The sequence below is a fragment of the Homo sapiens genome, chromosome 7 (genome assembly GCF_000001405.40).
Source record: "Homo sapiens chromosome 7, GRCh38.p14 Primary Assembly".
NCBI lineage: Eukaryota > Metazoa > Chordata > Mammalia > Primates > Hominidae > Homo > Homo sapiens.
The window spans coordinates 144,102,662-144,120,263 of record NC_000007.14 but is presented as its reverse complement, the minus strand read 5'-3'; the positions used below and the strand labels follow the sequence as shown (position 1 = coordinate 144,120,263).

At 36.0% G+C, this 17,602-nt stretch overlaps 1 protein-coding gene and 1 pseudogene across 1 annotated transcript; one reads left to right on the top strand and one right to left on the bottom strand.

Annotated features, from left to right (window-relative positions):
* Positions 904-1,800, top strand: OR2A15P (olfactory receptor family 2 subfamily A member 15 pseudogene; annotated as a pseudogene).
* OR2A2 (olfactory receptor family 2 subfamily A member 2) lies at positions 9,725-10,681 on the bottom strand. The gene has a single exon (NM_001005480.2). It carries the CDS (start codon positions 10,679-10,681, stop codon positions 9,725-9,727), a length of 957 nt encoding a protein of 318 aa, NP_001005480.2.
* Between the last annotated feature and the right edge of the window lie 6,921 nt (positions 10,682-17,602).

Genomic DNA, 17,602 nt, shown 5'->3' with positions numbered 1-17,602 from the left:
ATCTACAATGAACTCAAACAAATTTACAAGAAAAAAACAAACAACCCCATCAAAAAGTGGGCAAAGGACATGAACAGACACTTCTCAAAAGAAGACATTTATGCAGCCAAAAGACACATGAAAAAATGCTCATCATCACTGGCCATCAGAGAAATGCAAATCAAAACCACAATGAGATACCATCTCACACCAGTTAGAATGGCAATCATTAAAAAGTCAGGAAACAACAGGTGCTGGAGAGGATGTGGAGAAATAGGAACACTTTTACACTGTTGGTGGGACTGTAAACTAGTTCAACCCTTGTGGAAGTCAGTGTGGCGATTCCTCAGGGATCTAGAACTAGAAATACCATTTGACCCAGCCATCCCATTACTGGGTATATACCCAAACGACTATAAATCATGCTGCTATAAAGACACATGCACACGTATGTTTATTGAGGCACTATTCACAACAGCAAAGACTTGGAACCAACCCAAATGTCCAACAATGATAGAGTGGTTTAAGAAAATGTGGTACATATACACCATGGAATACTATGCAGCCATAAAAAATGATGAGCTCATGTCCTTTGTAGGGACATGGATGAAATTGGAAATCATCATTCTCAGTAAACTATCGCAAGGACAAAAAACCAAACACCGCATATTCTCACTCATAGGTGGGAATTGAACAATGAGAACACATGGACACAGGAAGGGGAACAGCACACTCTGGGGCCTGTTGTGGGGTGGGGGGAGGGGGGAGGGATAGCATTAGGAGATATACCTAATGCTAAATGACAAGTTAATGGGTGCAGCACACCAGCATGGCACATGTATACATATGTAACTATCCTGCACATTGTGCACATGTACCCTAAAACTTAAAGTGTAATAATAATTAAAAAAAAAAAAAAAAGAAATGGGATGTCACCAATCAATGGTCACAGAATTCATCCTGGTGGGATTCCAGCTCAGTGCTGAGATGGAAGTGCTCCTCTTTTGGAGCTTCTCCCTTGGAATAGCCTTGGAACTCATCTGTCTGGACCACAGTCTGCACACTCTCATACTTCTTCCTCTCACACCTGGCCGTCATTGACATGTCCTATGCTTCCAACAATGTTCCCAAGATGCTGGTGGATCTTGCGAACTAGAAAAGCACCATGTGCTTTTTTCCATGCATAATGCAGACATTCTTGTATTTGGCTTTTGCTCACATAGAGTGTCTGATTTTGGTGGTTTTGTCCTATGATCGCTATGTGGCCATCTGCCACCCCTTACGTTACAATGTCCTCATGAGCTGGAGAGAGTGCACTGTCCTGGCTGTGGCTTCCTGGGTGTTCAGCTTCCTCCTGGCTCTGGTCCATTTAGTTCTCATTCTGAGGCTGCCCTTCAGTGGGCTCATGAAATCAACCACTACTGTGAAATCCTGTCTGTCCTCAAGTTGGCCTGTGCTGACACCTGGCTCAACCAGGTGGTCATCTTTGCAGCCTGCATGTTCATCCTGGTAGGGTCACTCTGCCTGGTGCTGGTCTCTTACTTGGGCATCCTGGCGGCCATCCTGAGGATCCAGTCTGGCGAGGGCCGCAGAAAGGCCTTCTCTACCTGCTCCTCCCACCTCTGTGTGGTGGAGTTCTTCTTTGGCAACGCCATTGTCATGTACATGGCCCCCAAGTCCCGCCATCCCGAGGAGCAGCAGAAGGTCCTTTCCCTGTTTTGCAGCCTTTGGAATCAGGTGCTGAACCCTCTGATCTACAGCTTGAGGAATGCAGAGGTCAAGAGTGCCCAGAAGAGGGCACTGAGGAAGGAGAGGCTGATGTAAGACATCTCAAAGGGCACCACGAGGAGAGGGCCCTGCTCCGTACAAAATGTGTAAGTTGGCTTTTTTGTTTTCTGCTAGGATAAATGCCACCTTAAAATTAACTATTTATTGACTTAAACATATAAACTGAAATCTTAAACTCTTGAGAGGAAAATAGAAGAATATTTTCATTAATTAAGTAGAAATATATTTGTAGAAAAGACACAATAATCCATAGAAGTAAAATTTGAATAATTCATTAACATTGAAAATCTTTGAAATTAATCACTGTGATTATCAAAGTCCCCATTAAGAAACAAGAAATGCAGGCAGAAAGTGATAAAATTCACTGTTCTTTATCTAGCAAAGAAACTAAAGACAATATATTGAAAGAACTCTTTCAAATTAATATTAAAAGACAAACAAATTTTATAAAATGAGCAAAGCGCTTGAATAGAAACTTCTCCAAAGAAATACAAGTGGTCAATAAACATGTAAAATGCTGCTCTTCACCATTAGTCAGCAAGAAAATGTAAATTACAGTCACCATCAGGTAGCATTTTATATCCCCTCAACTGTCTAAAATTTTTAATGGATTATTTGTTATTGAAATGATTTGAAATCTAACTCCAATAATTGGGAAACAGCCAATACTAGTAAAGTTTGTACCCATTGAATTAATATGTTAGAGCACATTATATATTCTCTGGGTCAATAGTTAGTGACTTTTTCCTGTAAAAGTCCACAGAAAAATATATAAGACTTTGAGGACCATCTTCTTCATCGTAAAAGGTCAACTCTGGCAAAAGCAGTCATAGACAATGTGTAAATGAATGGGTGTGGCTGTGTTTTAGTAAAATTTTCTTTGCAAAAACAATGACTGATCAAAGGGGCCCAAGGACACTAGACTGCCAATACTTGTTCTAGATCTATGAGCTAGTCTAGGTCCAGCCGATTCAAAGTCAGAGACCTTCACCGGGTAGGGCCTCAGGGACCATACCATATGATTAGATGTGTTTTAAGAACAAGACCCAGTGGTCACTTTGGAGTCATTCTAGAGTGAGGCTTTTCTCTTGATAACTTATAAAATATATGACATAATGGCTTATGGACTATAAATACCCATGCTTGCTCCAATATAATTCAATAATAACATTAGCAATCCAATAAAAACAAGCACAGAGACATCTGGTACAGATTAGCTTTTTCAGTGCTGGACATATCAGGGACTTAGATTTTTAGTTATTTACTTTAAAACTTTACAGCCAATTTACTAGAAGCTGTTTATACCTTTATGTTAAAATCATTCTAGTTTTAATTATACATTCAGAAAGTCACTCTTATCTCATCGTGGATTACTAGGTAATGTAATTCTTGACCCTCATCTGATAGCTGATAATAATTTTGCATAGGGAATCACAAGGAAAGATTATAAATAACTAAGCCTCAGGACAAGTTGGAGTTCTTATAGTGGAGAAACTTTTTCCGTGTAAAGAGGGGAATCACATACCCTAATAGGGCAGGAAAGTTCTAAAGCTGAGAATTACTCCAATATTCAGAGACTGAGTTATCTTAATTTGTCATCTCAGAACATTTTACATCTATCAAGCTTCTTTTCTTACCCTGAAATAAATTGTTGTGTAACAGTATGTGTTATGATTTTCTTCTCCCTTTCTTGTTTCTCTTCAGCCAATTTTAAATCAACACACCCATTTCTAGCCTTCATATACCTGTACATAAACATTCTCTCAGTGTCTCCCAGCTCCCTGGTGCATAATATTCCATGGATAAAATGCTCTGTGCCATTTGCTTTCAAATATTGGTTTGCCATCTTCTCACAAAAAGATTTGGGCATTCCTAGCTACCATTTGTCTTAAAACATGTAATAAAGGAAGTACAGTGATGTAATTTAAATATGAAAAAATACCTTCTGATTGTAAACTTCAAGCTTATGAAACGATGAATCCCTGATTTCTAAAAGCAAAATGAAACAAAAATAAATCTATTTCATAACTTGTCAACAGTATTCCAATCTAGTCCAATTTATCAATATTTGCTTTTAATGCAATCTGAAGATTTTTCAACTTGGTATATTATTTTACAAAAGCAACTTTGTGCATTATTTTTAAAAATCTTCCCTTAGATATGTCATAAAAACATTATATTTGTGTCTTTGAAATAGGTCTTGAATATTCAAAGGTCTTGAATACACAGGAATTGAGTGATTTTGCAGGCTTTGAGTATTTTTAGGGAGACTCAATTGTCCCAGCCCCATTTACTGCAAAGTCCTTCCTTCTCCAATGATTGATCATGCTGTGCTACCTGTAGTTTAGCAAGAGCTAAAAGAGGCATAAATCTACTTCCATAATTTATATTCTATTCAGTTTGTTTCTTGGTACATCCTTGTATGAATTTTGTAAAATTTTATTTTAATTGTTTTTGCTTTTCAAAAATATAATAGATTTTCATATCAATTTTGTAACAAGCTACCTTAACTTTTCATATAATTTTAATAATATGTTAGAAGATTATTTTAGATTTTCTGCATATCTGACAATTGTGTCCTTTGCGTTAATTACAGTTTGTTTCTTCTTTCTCAAATGTGTGTGTGTGTGTGTGTGTGTGTGCGCGCACACGCATGGGTGTCTATTTATTCCTTTTGCCTAATTGTACTGGTAGGAATCTTTAGTAAGAAACTGAGAAAAAGGAAAAAAAGTGACAATGATGTGCATCCTTACCTTGTCCTTTATATTAAATGGAAAGATGCTAGCATTTCACCATTCAGTAGGCTATCTGCTGCGTTTTTTGTTTGTTTGGTGTTTTTTTTTTTTTTTTTGTAGGTTATCTTTAAGAAGGCTTACTGCCATATAAGTTATAAAAAGTTTTATCATGACTTGGCGTTGAATTTTGTTAAATACTTTTCTCGATCTACCGAGATGGCCATATTATATGCATCCTTTAATTTATTAATGTGACAAATTATATTCATTATTTGCTTTCATGTTAAATATTTCCTACTTTCTGGGGATAAAAACAACTTAATCATAATCTGCTACTACTTTATTTTGCGAAATTTGACTTACTAATATTTTGTTTTTCCTTCTTAATGTTGATTTTAGCTAATACAAAACATTTTATCTTAAAATTATTTTTTATTTAAATTACAGTTCAAGTTCATCACACTCTGAGTTACTTAGAAGCACACAGTACTTAAATGACTTGGATTGTAAAGTTTATGTTTTGTGATACACAGGTGGGATAATTACAAATGAATAATACTAAGCATGGAGAAATGTAAGAGTATTTTATTTCAGTGTATATTATAAGCTGTATAATTAGGTAAAGTTGTTTTCATGACTTGAAAGGTGTCAATAAAATACATTTCTCTCCCCACAGCATCTTATCCTTTGGGCTTTCAGAGTGACTGAGATTTATTCCCCTGTATTAAGGCATCATATTTCCAGAAGTTCTCAATTAAAATAAATTATAAAGGAATGTATCCCAACCAAGTCCCTAATCTTTCCTGAATGACATAGGTTAGGATTTCTTATTTATCTATCTGTTTATTTATCATCTATTTATTTATTATTTTGTCAAGAGGCTTTAACATGAGTTCTACTCTCTTAAGAAGTTTTTAATTGCACTATGTAGTATGATCAACTATAGGGCGTAATGTTGTACACCAGATCTCTGGAACTTACTCATGTTGCATTACTGAAAATGCATATTCATTCAATAGCAACTTCATGTCTCCCCTTGCCCTCTGTCCCTGGCAACAAGAATCTATGCCGTTTTTATGAATTTGACTATTTTCAGATAACTCTTATAAGTAGAATCATGCAGTACTTGTTCTTCTGTGACTGGATTATTTTATTAGCATAATGTCGTTCAGGTTCATTGATGTTGTAGCATGTGTTATGTATCACATGTTATCAAGCTTAGTAGATGAAATGCCTACTAATAATATAAAGAAGAAATGTAATAGTTCAACAATAGATTGACATTTTATATACTGTATGCTCTTGACAGACTTTTGTATTTAAAAGAGTTTCTCATAACAAAATTTTAAAAACATCTTACTGGTGATTAAATATTGTTATTCTACAGCAAGGCTGAAGACTTTGTTGTCTTTCAACACCTAAAAATATGACCTAATTTCAATATGATAACTGATTTTTATCTAACAACTTCTCTCTCCTTCCCTTTCTTTCTTTCTTTCTTTTTTCTTTCTTTCTCTCTTTCTTTCTTCTTTCTTTCATTTTTCTTTCCTAATATGACTCCTAGGTTTCAAGTAATAAAACTCTTTTCATGGCTTCTACACTTAAATTATATTTAGGGTTTTCCATATATTACTAAGTATCCATGATGATTTGTTCCTTCTTTTTATTAAAAAATGATAAAAATAGTCCTGTTTGGTATGTCCCATATTTGATTAATGCAACTTCTTTCTGAGCTGAGTAGCCCATAGCTGAGATCCAAGTGTTGAATAGGCTTCTCCTTTCTTATCATACATTACAGCAAATCCTGGAGAAGAGCATTAAAAAATAAGCTAAACTTTTCTCATGGTTTGTACATGAAAAACAATGTGCTATAGATATGCCTACAAACAACTATGAATTCATCACAAGACATTGTTTACTTACCATAGTTCACGACCTTCTGTATGACATTCTACACTTCATTTCCATAGTAATCTTACCCAAACTGATGAAAGCCTTGGCAAGCTCTGTCTAAAAGGGCCCTCATGTGGTAAAAGTCCTAATATTCATAAAAATAACTGACCTTGGCCAACTATACTAATGCCTATCAAAGCTTGACTATCTGCCCCCCATATTTACTGTTAAATATTGCTCTAACCCACTTCATTTACCTGCTTTCTTCTTCTGATCAAGGTGAACCTCGTGATTGTCTATAACTTGTTCAAATTCTAAATGACTCCTCCTTTAGTTTGAGGTACATTCTGTTAGTTAACCCTGACATGTCATTCTTTATTATCACTTGTATACTTAAAAATAATCAATGTATCCTTTGCATTGTATATGCCATAAATGTTAAATATATATGTAGAAATTACCTCTTTTTCCAATATTAATCTGCTGAAATGGTTAACCTGATAGCTTTGAAACAACCATGTCTCCTTGCTAAAAGTTTAAATATTTACACCTTTAGTAAAAATTTGACTTTTTGGTAGATCATAGTTTTAGTGTGTTATAAAAATATAAAAATTTACCAACTGTGTCAGACACCCTAATAATAATTGAAAAAGAAATTAATAACTTGACAGTATTGTACATCCAAAGGAAATCACAGTTTTTAAAATCCTAAATAAAGATAATACTTGTAAAACTGATTTATTAATATACTGCCTTAGCTAACAACTACACAAAGAGTATTCATTATTTATTTTATCACCATCAGCATCATAAACACAACATTTCAATCCGATCTCATGAATCTAGGAGATCTTTTGCCACCATGAAAGATAAATGATGTTGGTTATAACAAAGCTGTGTTGGGATGTTTGGTGTCACCATCTACATACAAGTTGGTTCAAACATTAAAAAGTATTGATGAAAAAAATTTCAAGAGCTTCAACAGGTGATTAAATCTTGCCTTTTCAGTAATTAGCATCACCCAAGAGTAAGTGTAAAGTTTGAATAATGCTCAAAACCATTGTTGTCTCCTGGGCCATTTGAATATTTACTCATGGATTTTCTTCATTTTACCAAATCCTAAAGCTTTAATATATTTTAGGGTTTTTTACACAGTTTAGTATTGATCTAAAGCTTTCCGTATCTTATTCCCTTTTACTCCTAAATTATTTCATCAAGGGATACAAGATGTTGTACAGACATACAGACCAACGGAACGGAATAGAAAACCCAGAAATAAAGCTGCACACCTAAAACCACTGGTCTTTGACAAAGTCAACAAAAATAAGCAATGGGGAAAGGACTTCCTATTTGACAAATGGTGCTGGGATAACTGGCTAGCCATATGCAGAAGAGTGAAACTGGACCCCCTACTTTCACCATATATAAAAAATGACTCAAGATGGATTAAAGACTTAAATGTAAAATCACACCTATAAAAATTCTAGAAGAAAATCTAGAAAATACCCTACTTGACATCAGCATTGACAAAGAATTGTTGGCAAGGTCCCCAAAAGCCATTGTAAAAAACCAAAATTGACAAATGGGATGTAATTAAACTAAAGAGATTCTGCACAGCGAAAGAAACTATCAACAGAATAAATAGACAGTCTAAAGAATGTGAGAAAAAATTTGCAAACTATGCATCCAACAAGGTCTAATATTCAGAATCTATAAGAAACAAACAAATCAACAAACAAAAAACAACCCCATTAAAAATGGGCAAAGAATATAAACAAACACTTTACAAAAGAAGACATACAAGCAGCCAACAAACATGAAAAAATGCTCATCTTCACTAATAATCAGATAAATGCAAATCAAAACCACAATGACATTCTATCGTAAATCAGTCAGAATGGCTATTACTAAAAAGTCAAAACATAACAGATGTTGGCAAGGCTGCAGATAAAAGGAAACACTTATACACTGCTGGTGAAAATGTAAACTAGTTCAGTCATTGCAGAAAGAGGTTTGGAGGTTTCTTAAAGAACTAAAAATAGAACTACCATTCAACTCAACAATCCCATTACAGGGTATATACCCAAAGGAAAAGAAATATTTCTATCAAAGAAACACATACACGTGTATGTTCATCACAGTGCTATTCACAATAACAAAGGCATGGAATCAACCTAGGTGGCCATCAGAAGTAGACTGGATAAAGAAAATGTGGTACATATACACCGTGGAATACTACATAGCCAATGAACATGAAATTATGTCCTTTGCAGCAATATGTATGCAAATGGAAGCCATTATCCTAAGCAAATTAATACTGGAACAGAAAACCAAATACCACATGTTCTCATTTATAACTGGGAGCTAAACTTTGAGTACATATGGACATAAAGATGGGAAAAGTAGACACTGGGGACTACTAGAGAGTGTAAGGAGGAAGGGGGTGTGGACCGAAAAAAAACCTATTGGGTACTATGCCTAGTACCTGGGGGAGGGATCATCTGTACCACAGACCTCATCATCACACAATACACCCATGTAACAAACCTGCACATGTACAACCTGAATCTAAAATAAATGTAGAAATTATTTTTAAAATGTACACAAGAGAAATGTACACAAAGCATAAATGTATAGTGCAAGGGATTATCAGTAAATGGCCATTACCCAGCTGCCTTCCTACCCCTCCCAGTCACTATCTACTCCCTTCATCCTAATGATGTCTAATATCCTAGCTTTAACGTTATAGTTTAGTTATTGCCTATGTTTGAAATTTATGTACGCGTGGAATCATACATCCTTTTGTGTCTGGCTTCTATCACTCCAGATTTTGTATCACTCCAGATCTGTATCACTCCAGATTTTGTGTTTGTAATATTCATCCATGTTACTGTATGTTGAGGTTCATTCATTTTCTTTGTTACTTAGTATTCTGCTGTGTGAATATACAAGTTACTCAACTTCTCCCTGTTGATAGATATTTGGATTCTTTTCAGGTTTTAGCTATTATGAAACAATGCTGTTATCTCCTTTAACATCAGAGTTTCATTTTGCCTATTTCAGGAAATTATATAAAATGGCACTGTGACATAAAAAGTAAATAAATAAAAATAAAAGCAAAAAGATGTTCTAACACTTTTAAAGGAAAGGCTAAATATTCTGATAATTTTGCTCTCCTATCTACTGAGATGATTCCTCGATTTTAGAGAACATACATTCCATTGAATATTGCCCTATTTTCAAAGCTTGAATTCAATCACTCACCATTTTTATATTAAACTTCTTCTACAAAATATATTCAAAATTCTTGCTTCAGCAAACCACATGTTTTAAAGGCAAAGCCCATACACCGTTCTCATGGACCTCTTCCTCTGGAGTGCTCTGTGGAGGGCGCCCTTCAACTGAGCATTCCTCAGGCTGTAGATCAGGGGGTTCAGCATTGGATTAAAGACACTGTGAAACAGGGACAGCATTTTCTCCTGCTCCTCTCGTTGATTAGAGTCTGGGACCATGTAAACCACCATGGCTATGCCAAAGAATAGTCCAACCACACACAGGTGGGAGGAGCAGGTGGAGAAGGCCTTTATGCGGCCCTCCTTTGTCTGGATCTTCAGGATGGCCCCGAGGATGTGCATGTAGGAGACCAGAATCAAGGAAAGAGGCCCGACTAAGACAAACACACAGGTAGCAAATATGACCACTTGGTTAACCCAGGTGTCAGCACAGGCCAGCTTGAGGACAGACAGAATTTCACAGAAGAGGTGGTTCACATCCCGGGGCCCACAGAAGGGCAACCTTAGAAGGAGAATTTCATGTACCAGGGACAGGGCAAACCCACATGACCAGGACGTGAGAACCAGGATCGTGCACACTCTCCAGCTCATGATGACAGTGTACTGGAAAGGGTGGCAGATGGCCACATACCTATCATAGGACATCACCACCAAAATCAGGCACTCTGTAACAGCAAAAGCCAAATACAAAAAAGTCTGCATTATGCATGGAACAAAGGAGATGGTTCTTTTCTGGTTCATTAGGTTTGCCAACATCTTGGGAACATTGTTGGAAGCATAGGACATGTCAATGATGGCCAGGTGTGAGAGGAAGAAGTACATGGGTGTGTGAAGCTTAGAGTCCAGGCAGATAATCCCAAAGATGACCCCATTCCCCAGCAGGGTGAGTGTATAGAAGACAGAGAAGAGTCCACAGAGGAGAATCGCCAGTGCTGGACCAACCTGGAATCCCAGCAGGGTGATGTCTGTGATCCATGTCTGGTTGCCTTCCATGCTCTTGTGGCAGAGAAAGACAAACCCTCATCTAGGACAGGAAGGTCAGAGCTGTGGGTCAAAGATGCACAATATTTGCTGAGTGTTTCAGAGGGAGCATTAAGAAATGTATTATTTTGAATGGATTCTTTGTTGAATTTGTTTTCAAATATGTTACTGGAACCAACTCAATTATGCTCATGAAATTAAAAAAATCCTCTTCTACCAACAGAGTAATCGGAAAAAAAGTATAGCTATAATACTTCTTATATAAAAAAAAAATTAACATAAGGTGTAATATAATATATCTTGTATTACTGTATACACATACATGCATGGAAACACGTGTCATTTAGGAGAATTCAGGTACTCTGCTTCTTTTATAGGGTGGAATCCTTAGTTATTAACATAGTGAAATTAGAGATGACACTGACAAAATGCTGCAATACAAGATGGTTTTATATCCTGGGCATGCTTGAGTTTTTCTACCCAGTATGAAGTGGTTAGGGCATTCTGTTCTTCATATTCTTGCTTAGCAACCCATTTACCTTCTCACATGAATTCTACTTTCATATTTAAGATTGAAAATCTTTTGTAAATAGCTTTTCAACTTTGTAATTTCTTTAAAACTTCCTACAACCGTCATTTTTTCAGCCACTGGCCCATACTCCCTGGAAGCACCTCTGGTACCTATTTTCCATCTCTAGGGTTTGTAGTTCTATTTCAAGTATTTTATTTAATTCTTCATCAGCACTTGATGCTAAAATTTAGTCACACGTGAAAGAATTAAAATGGAAGAAAATGTAGGAAAATAGTTTCAAGTCTGTAAATCAAAATAGTAAATATATAATATACAAAAAATAAAAAGGCAATATACAAATATATAATAATATATAAAAGCAGTACAATATCCTTTTTATTATAATTTATTGAATCATTTTTCTTGTCAGAAATTTTTGGTTTCTATTTCTCTTATGTTTGGTAGCATTGAGATAAATATTCTTACAAGCTTATGTTTGGCTTATATTGATGATTTTTAATTGAGAATGTATTCTAAAAGTGAATTTGCAGGTGCTAAATATATTGAAATTTCAAAGCTTTTGATATCTATTTCCAGCTTTGCTTCAGAAAATTTACCAATACAAATTCTACTAATTTTTATCTATATAAATTCTATTATTTTATACCAATATAATATATCACTGATGTGTACCTCAGAATCATGCCTCTTTCCCACATGGTCATCACAACCATGTATTTTTATTTTCAACCTTTGCTAATTCGATAAGAGAACAATATTATCCAGTGTCAATTTGTACTTCATCCATCCTTTAACAAACGATCCTGGAGTGCATGATCTGTTTTAGCCACTGTTCTAAGCGCAGGAGGCACAGTGGTGGAGGTAGATGCATTCAGAAGGGGACCAGGTCATGAAGAAGTGAAGTTAAGGCAGTGTTCTCTTCAACTCCTCACATTCCCATTTAGAGGAGGAAATTGTTATGCCCCTGGATGAAATTGTCTTGGAATATACCTGCTTTTCTCTGTCCCCTAATTTATATGATTGTGAACCAGAAAGAGAAACTAAGGATACCCCTTCTCTGTTTCACCCACACGAATTTCCACCCCCTTTAGCATAAGGCATCAGGAACATGTTTCTTCCCATTTGGAGGTCGGGAGAGGTGTCAGCTAATGGTTATGATTTTAATTTGGAGAGAAATTTTTTTGAAGATATGAACCATGCTTTTCAATAAGCCTTACTAGCAAAATATATAAAATATATATATTTTAAAATTATATCTGATTCTTGTGTGCATTTCTTAACTGATTTTTTTCTGGAGCAGAGAGAGGGAATGGTTAGTTACTACCACTAAAACACCAGGAGTAAATGAGTAAATAATTGCTGACTGTGAAAAGAACAGTAAAAAAATAATCTGGGTAAAATAATAGAAAGTTGCTTGGTTTGAGGAAGACTCCTTTAGATGAGATGGTCAGGAAAGGTCTCTCTCAAGCAGAGTCAGGTGAAAGGAACCTAAACAATGAAGGCCGCAACCCTGCCCAGAGCCAAAGGAGGACCATTCTCTTCACAGGGAACAGTAAGGGAACAGTAAAGGCAAAGTCTCTGGGCAAGAAGCGCTTGGTGACTTCTGGGAAGAGAAAGAAACACAATGAAACTGAAGCATAGTGAGCAAAAGGTCATACTTATTCTTCGTAATCTTGTTTATATATTTAAAAATTTTGAATTATGATTTGATAGCACAATAGGGTGACTATAGTCAGTAATAACATAATTGTACATTTTAAAATAACTTAAAGAGTGTAATTGTATTTGTATTATTTGTAACTCGAAAGATAAATGCTTGAGGGGATGGATACCCCATTCCCCATGATGTGCTTATTTCAGATTGCATGCCTCTATCAAAACATCTCATGTACCCCATAAATATATATGCCTACTATATACCCACAAAAATTTAAAAAATAAAAAAATAAAAAGATTGGAATCAACTTAAAAGTTTATCAGTTGGGGATCAATTATTTTCATTTGGCTGTTATTACAACACAGAATACCATGCAGCCATGAAAAAGGACAATTTTGATCTTTAGGTCATTCCATGAAGTTAACGTATGTGTGTATTATATGACCTGATTTATATTTTAGAATATAAACATATTTAGGTCTTTTGTATCTATTCACATATATGCAGGAAAATTCTTTAAGCATGAAATTATTTATACTGATGATCTCTACAAAGTTGGAATATTCAGCGACTTATCTTTTGTATAAATTGCACACCTGTTCATTTGTTTTTAATGAACTTTGTGCTTTACAGGAAACAAAACAGGGCATTTCTTATTTAGAAAAACTTCACAGTGAAATACAGAGTTAAAGTTTACACTATTTCTATGCATCTCACCAAGTTGTTTTTTTTGTTGTTGTTTGTTTGTTTTTTTGTTTTTGAGATGGAGTCTTGCTCTGTTGCCCAGGCTGGAGAACAGTGGCACAATCTCGGCTCACTGCAAACTCTGCCTCCTGGGCTCAAGCAATTCTCTTGCCTCAGCCTCCAGAGTAGCTGGGACTACAGGCATGCACCACCATGCTTGGCTAATTTTTGTATTTTTAGTAGAGATGGGGTTTCACCATATTGGCCAGGCTGGTCTCGAACTCCTGACCTCAAGTGATTCACCCACCTTGGCCTTCCAAAGTGCCGGGATTACAGGTGTGAGCCACTGTGCCCGGTCTTCTCACCAAGTTTTAACAGGAACATCTGAACTTAGAAGACTTTCTTAGAGCTTCAAATGGGAGAAATGTCACTAAATTATGGGAAAGTATTAATCCTTAACAAGTAAGTAGAAATTGAAAAATCTCAGTATCACTTCTCCTACAGAAGCATGTACTTTTTTCCCGAGTTGTCCTGATAGAGAAACAATCAACATCATCTATTGACTAAAAGTGGAAGTGGATCTTAAACCAGGTTGAAAATTTTTGCCACGTCCACCAAATTATGAACAAGGGCAGAAGCAAAGCCAAGTTATAAATCTGCACAGGTCAAAGAAAATGAGCTTCATCATACAGAGAACTACATTTCAATGTCTTTTAATTTTCTCATCTGTAAAGTAGCTTCTGGGAATTTCCGGTTAAAAATCAAAAGAAAGAAACAGGGAACTGAAAAGACTAAATTTCTTTCCAAAGATAGTCTTTCGATGAGACATAGGAGACCTCCCAGAGGTGAAGCAGGGTCACAACTTACAGAGGGAGGGCAGCCTGAGACAGAATCCTGGGAGTGGGATGTGACAAACCCCGTGGCTGTCAACTGTGCTGTGTGCATCTCTGTGTTTCTGCACCCAGTTCAGGGACCCAGGGTAGCAAGCACTTGGATGCCTCAGCAGTTACAAATGCATCATGAGCTTCCTTTTGCCAAATGGTTAGAATTGTTTGACTAATCAAAGTTTATAAGTAAAATAATCTGCATTTATAGAATTTTACATGTGATTTTTTTGGTATGACATTTCTGAAAGAAAGTAGTAGCCAAAATAAACTATTTCTAAAGGAATGGAATAAATAAAGGAGCAAATAGAACTGTTAGTCTTATTTAATTAGATGTGAACTGCATCCAAACCACATCTAACATGAGATGTCAAATGTACATTTAAGAGTTTGCTAGCAAGGGTCATAAGGTGACAACTCCATAATGGTGATTCTTCACACACACTAATGTTGTATCAGCTCATTTGTGAAGCCAAGGATGATAGAAAAGTATACTATAAACTGAACACATTTTTTTTCATTATTGGCATGGTTTTGCATTTTGGATTTCATAGTTTAAGAAGTCAGTATTATTTTTTTCTCTGAGTAAAAAGCCTGAGCAGATACAATAAAGACACAGTTGCCTGAAATAAAGTTTTCTTTGAGAGTGTACTCCAGCTACACATCAAAGAAAGATCTTCAGTGCATAGAATGAGGAAAAAGCCTTCATGGATACTGTTCTCTATTCTTCCATAGCATGACAAAAGTAGCAGTAATTGAAAAAAAATATGATCTCTGAAGAACAATGAGATAAGCATTGTTAGCAGTGCTCTTTAGACAATCATTCTGACCTTGATTCTGAACGGTGAACATTACAAAGTTGAGTACCTTATTCTGAACCTCACTATTTTCATCTGTAAAATGATGACAACAGATATCTAAAGGGCTGATGTGAAGAATGAGTACCACTAGGATACCTGTTAATGGTTTAATAAATGTTAGCTGTTATTAACAGCATTATGGAGACCACAAAATTGAGGAAAGAATCTAAATCATTGGAATTAAAAATCCAATGCAATCATTACAGTTTTGCAAACTCTTTCACATTTATTTTGCATTCCTTTTTGGTTATTTTTGAATTTAAATCAAAACACATTTTGCTTTCATTGCCATTGTTTTTCTATTTTGATTCATAAAATTAAGTTTAAAAAGAAACTTGAAGAGATGAAAAGAATCATTTAATGTAACCTCATTCCTGTATTAAAGAAGAAAATACAAGTTTTCAAAACTCAAAGTGCTATTCTGCCATGCCTATGACAGAGAGAGAGAGAGAGAGAGAGAGAGAGAGAGAATCTTATGGAAGAAAAGGGGACATATTTAGGATATTTAACACCGATCAAAAGTAAACATTTTTATTGATATTTTAGTCAGAATGGAAGCCATGGCTATCAAAGACGGGGTTCTGGGACAGCACAGATTTTTCAAATATTTGCAATCACTCAAAAATTACTTACCATCTCAGTAGTTACTTTGATACTCAATTTGATCCTAATGAATAGCATAATTTAGAAAAAAAACAAGCAAAGATTCTAGATAGAGCCCTATTGCCTGGGTTCAGATCCTGGCTTTGCTACACACTAAATTTACGACTTTTCTGTGCCTTACTGTGCCTCAGTGCCCCCATCTGCAAAATGGGGTGGGTAACAAACCCTACCTTATAGGATGGTTGTGAGGATTAAATGAGTTATCTATCATAAGACACTTAATAAGTGCATAAAAACCATTATTGATGATTTGCAACAATCATTGGAAAGTGACTTCTGGGTCCAATAATAACAAGGAAATGCGTTATATGTTTAACAGTTCCTCTGCTAAATAAGGAAACAAAAAGAGAATCTTTTCCCCACAGGCACTGGGTTGCCCTATGAGAGAGTGGCATCTCTGTCTTGAACAATTGAGCAGTGGGTCCTAGTTAGCCAGACAATGGTTCAAGAATCGGAAGGGCAGACAGTTAGCAATGGCAGAAGGAAGATCAATCAATCTCAGGACAAGTGAACTACTTGATAACTCTGATTTAGTGTTTTCTTATTTGTAAGAAGAGGAACCTGGGCCATGTAGTCTCTGGAGTTCTTTTTAGCCCTTTAGCCAGATAATATCCTACATGATATTATCTCTTCCTCTTCTCTGGCGGAGTCATGACAAAGCCAGGCACTGGCATGTGAGGATGAGGGACCAGGAGGGTGAGAGGAACCATGGCCACCCCATGGTTGTAAGGACCAGTAGTGGTCCCCAGAGCTCCTCTCAGGACCCCAGTTATAAACATAGGCTTAGGGCCAGAAGGAAACTACACGAGGGCAGTGTTTTGTCAAAAATACCTTAAGCTGGAAATGTCATTCACTTCTGGTTCCCTTTTCCCACCTGCAAACTTCTTCTCAGCGTCAATGAGCCACTTTTACTTACAGTGGCATAATATGTAGTCTTTTCTTCAAACACAGCCTTAGGCTTAGAAGAAACCTCAATGACAGGAGGGAAGGATAAATAGACTGAGATTGATTCTTGTCTCTAAAGGGGCCTCCTTGGGAGGTGAAGCCCAGCAACAGAGCTCTCCTGAACTTTATGATAGACTTAGTTTGTGCAAGCCAGGGCTTTTTCTATTATCATTTGTCTACAACTAACTCTCCAGACAAAAATAATGATTCAGTGAACAGAACCATGTGAGATTGCATCTACTCACATTCTCCCTAGAGGGAATTATAGAATTTATTGCTTTTCTATTAGCAAGTAAACCAATCAAAGCATCTCACATGTTTATTCATTTTGTTCCTTCTGTATTCTCATGGGATTTATTTTAGTGTGTTAACTTGAAATTGGATGGGGACAGGATTTCTGTATATGAGATAAGACCTTGGAGAGAAAACAAAATATTCAAGATAGTATATCAATTAAATTCTCTTAAAACTTACTTATTTTATCAGCCTTAAAATTGCCCCACTTTCCAATTCCTGCTGTTTGACTGTAGAGGAGAGGCCGTGACTTCTTGGTAATCATTCCACATTTCTCACTTACAAATATTTTTGACTCTGCAGTTCAGGTATACCTCATCTTCTTCCTTAAATTTCGTCAATGTGTCTTTATCTCAAACATCTCTAAATTTCTTAGCCACATTTTGATTTCCTCATCCTAAGTTAGGGTCTACA

Excerpts from the sequence above, each read along its gene's own strand:
- OR2A2 (NM_001005480.2), bottom strand. The coding sequence starts at position 10,681 with ATGGAAGGCAACCAGACATGGATCACAGACATCACCCTGCTGGGATTC.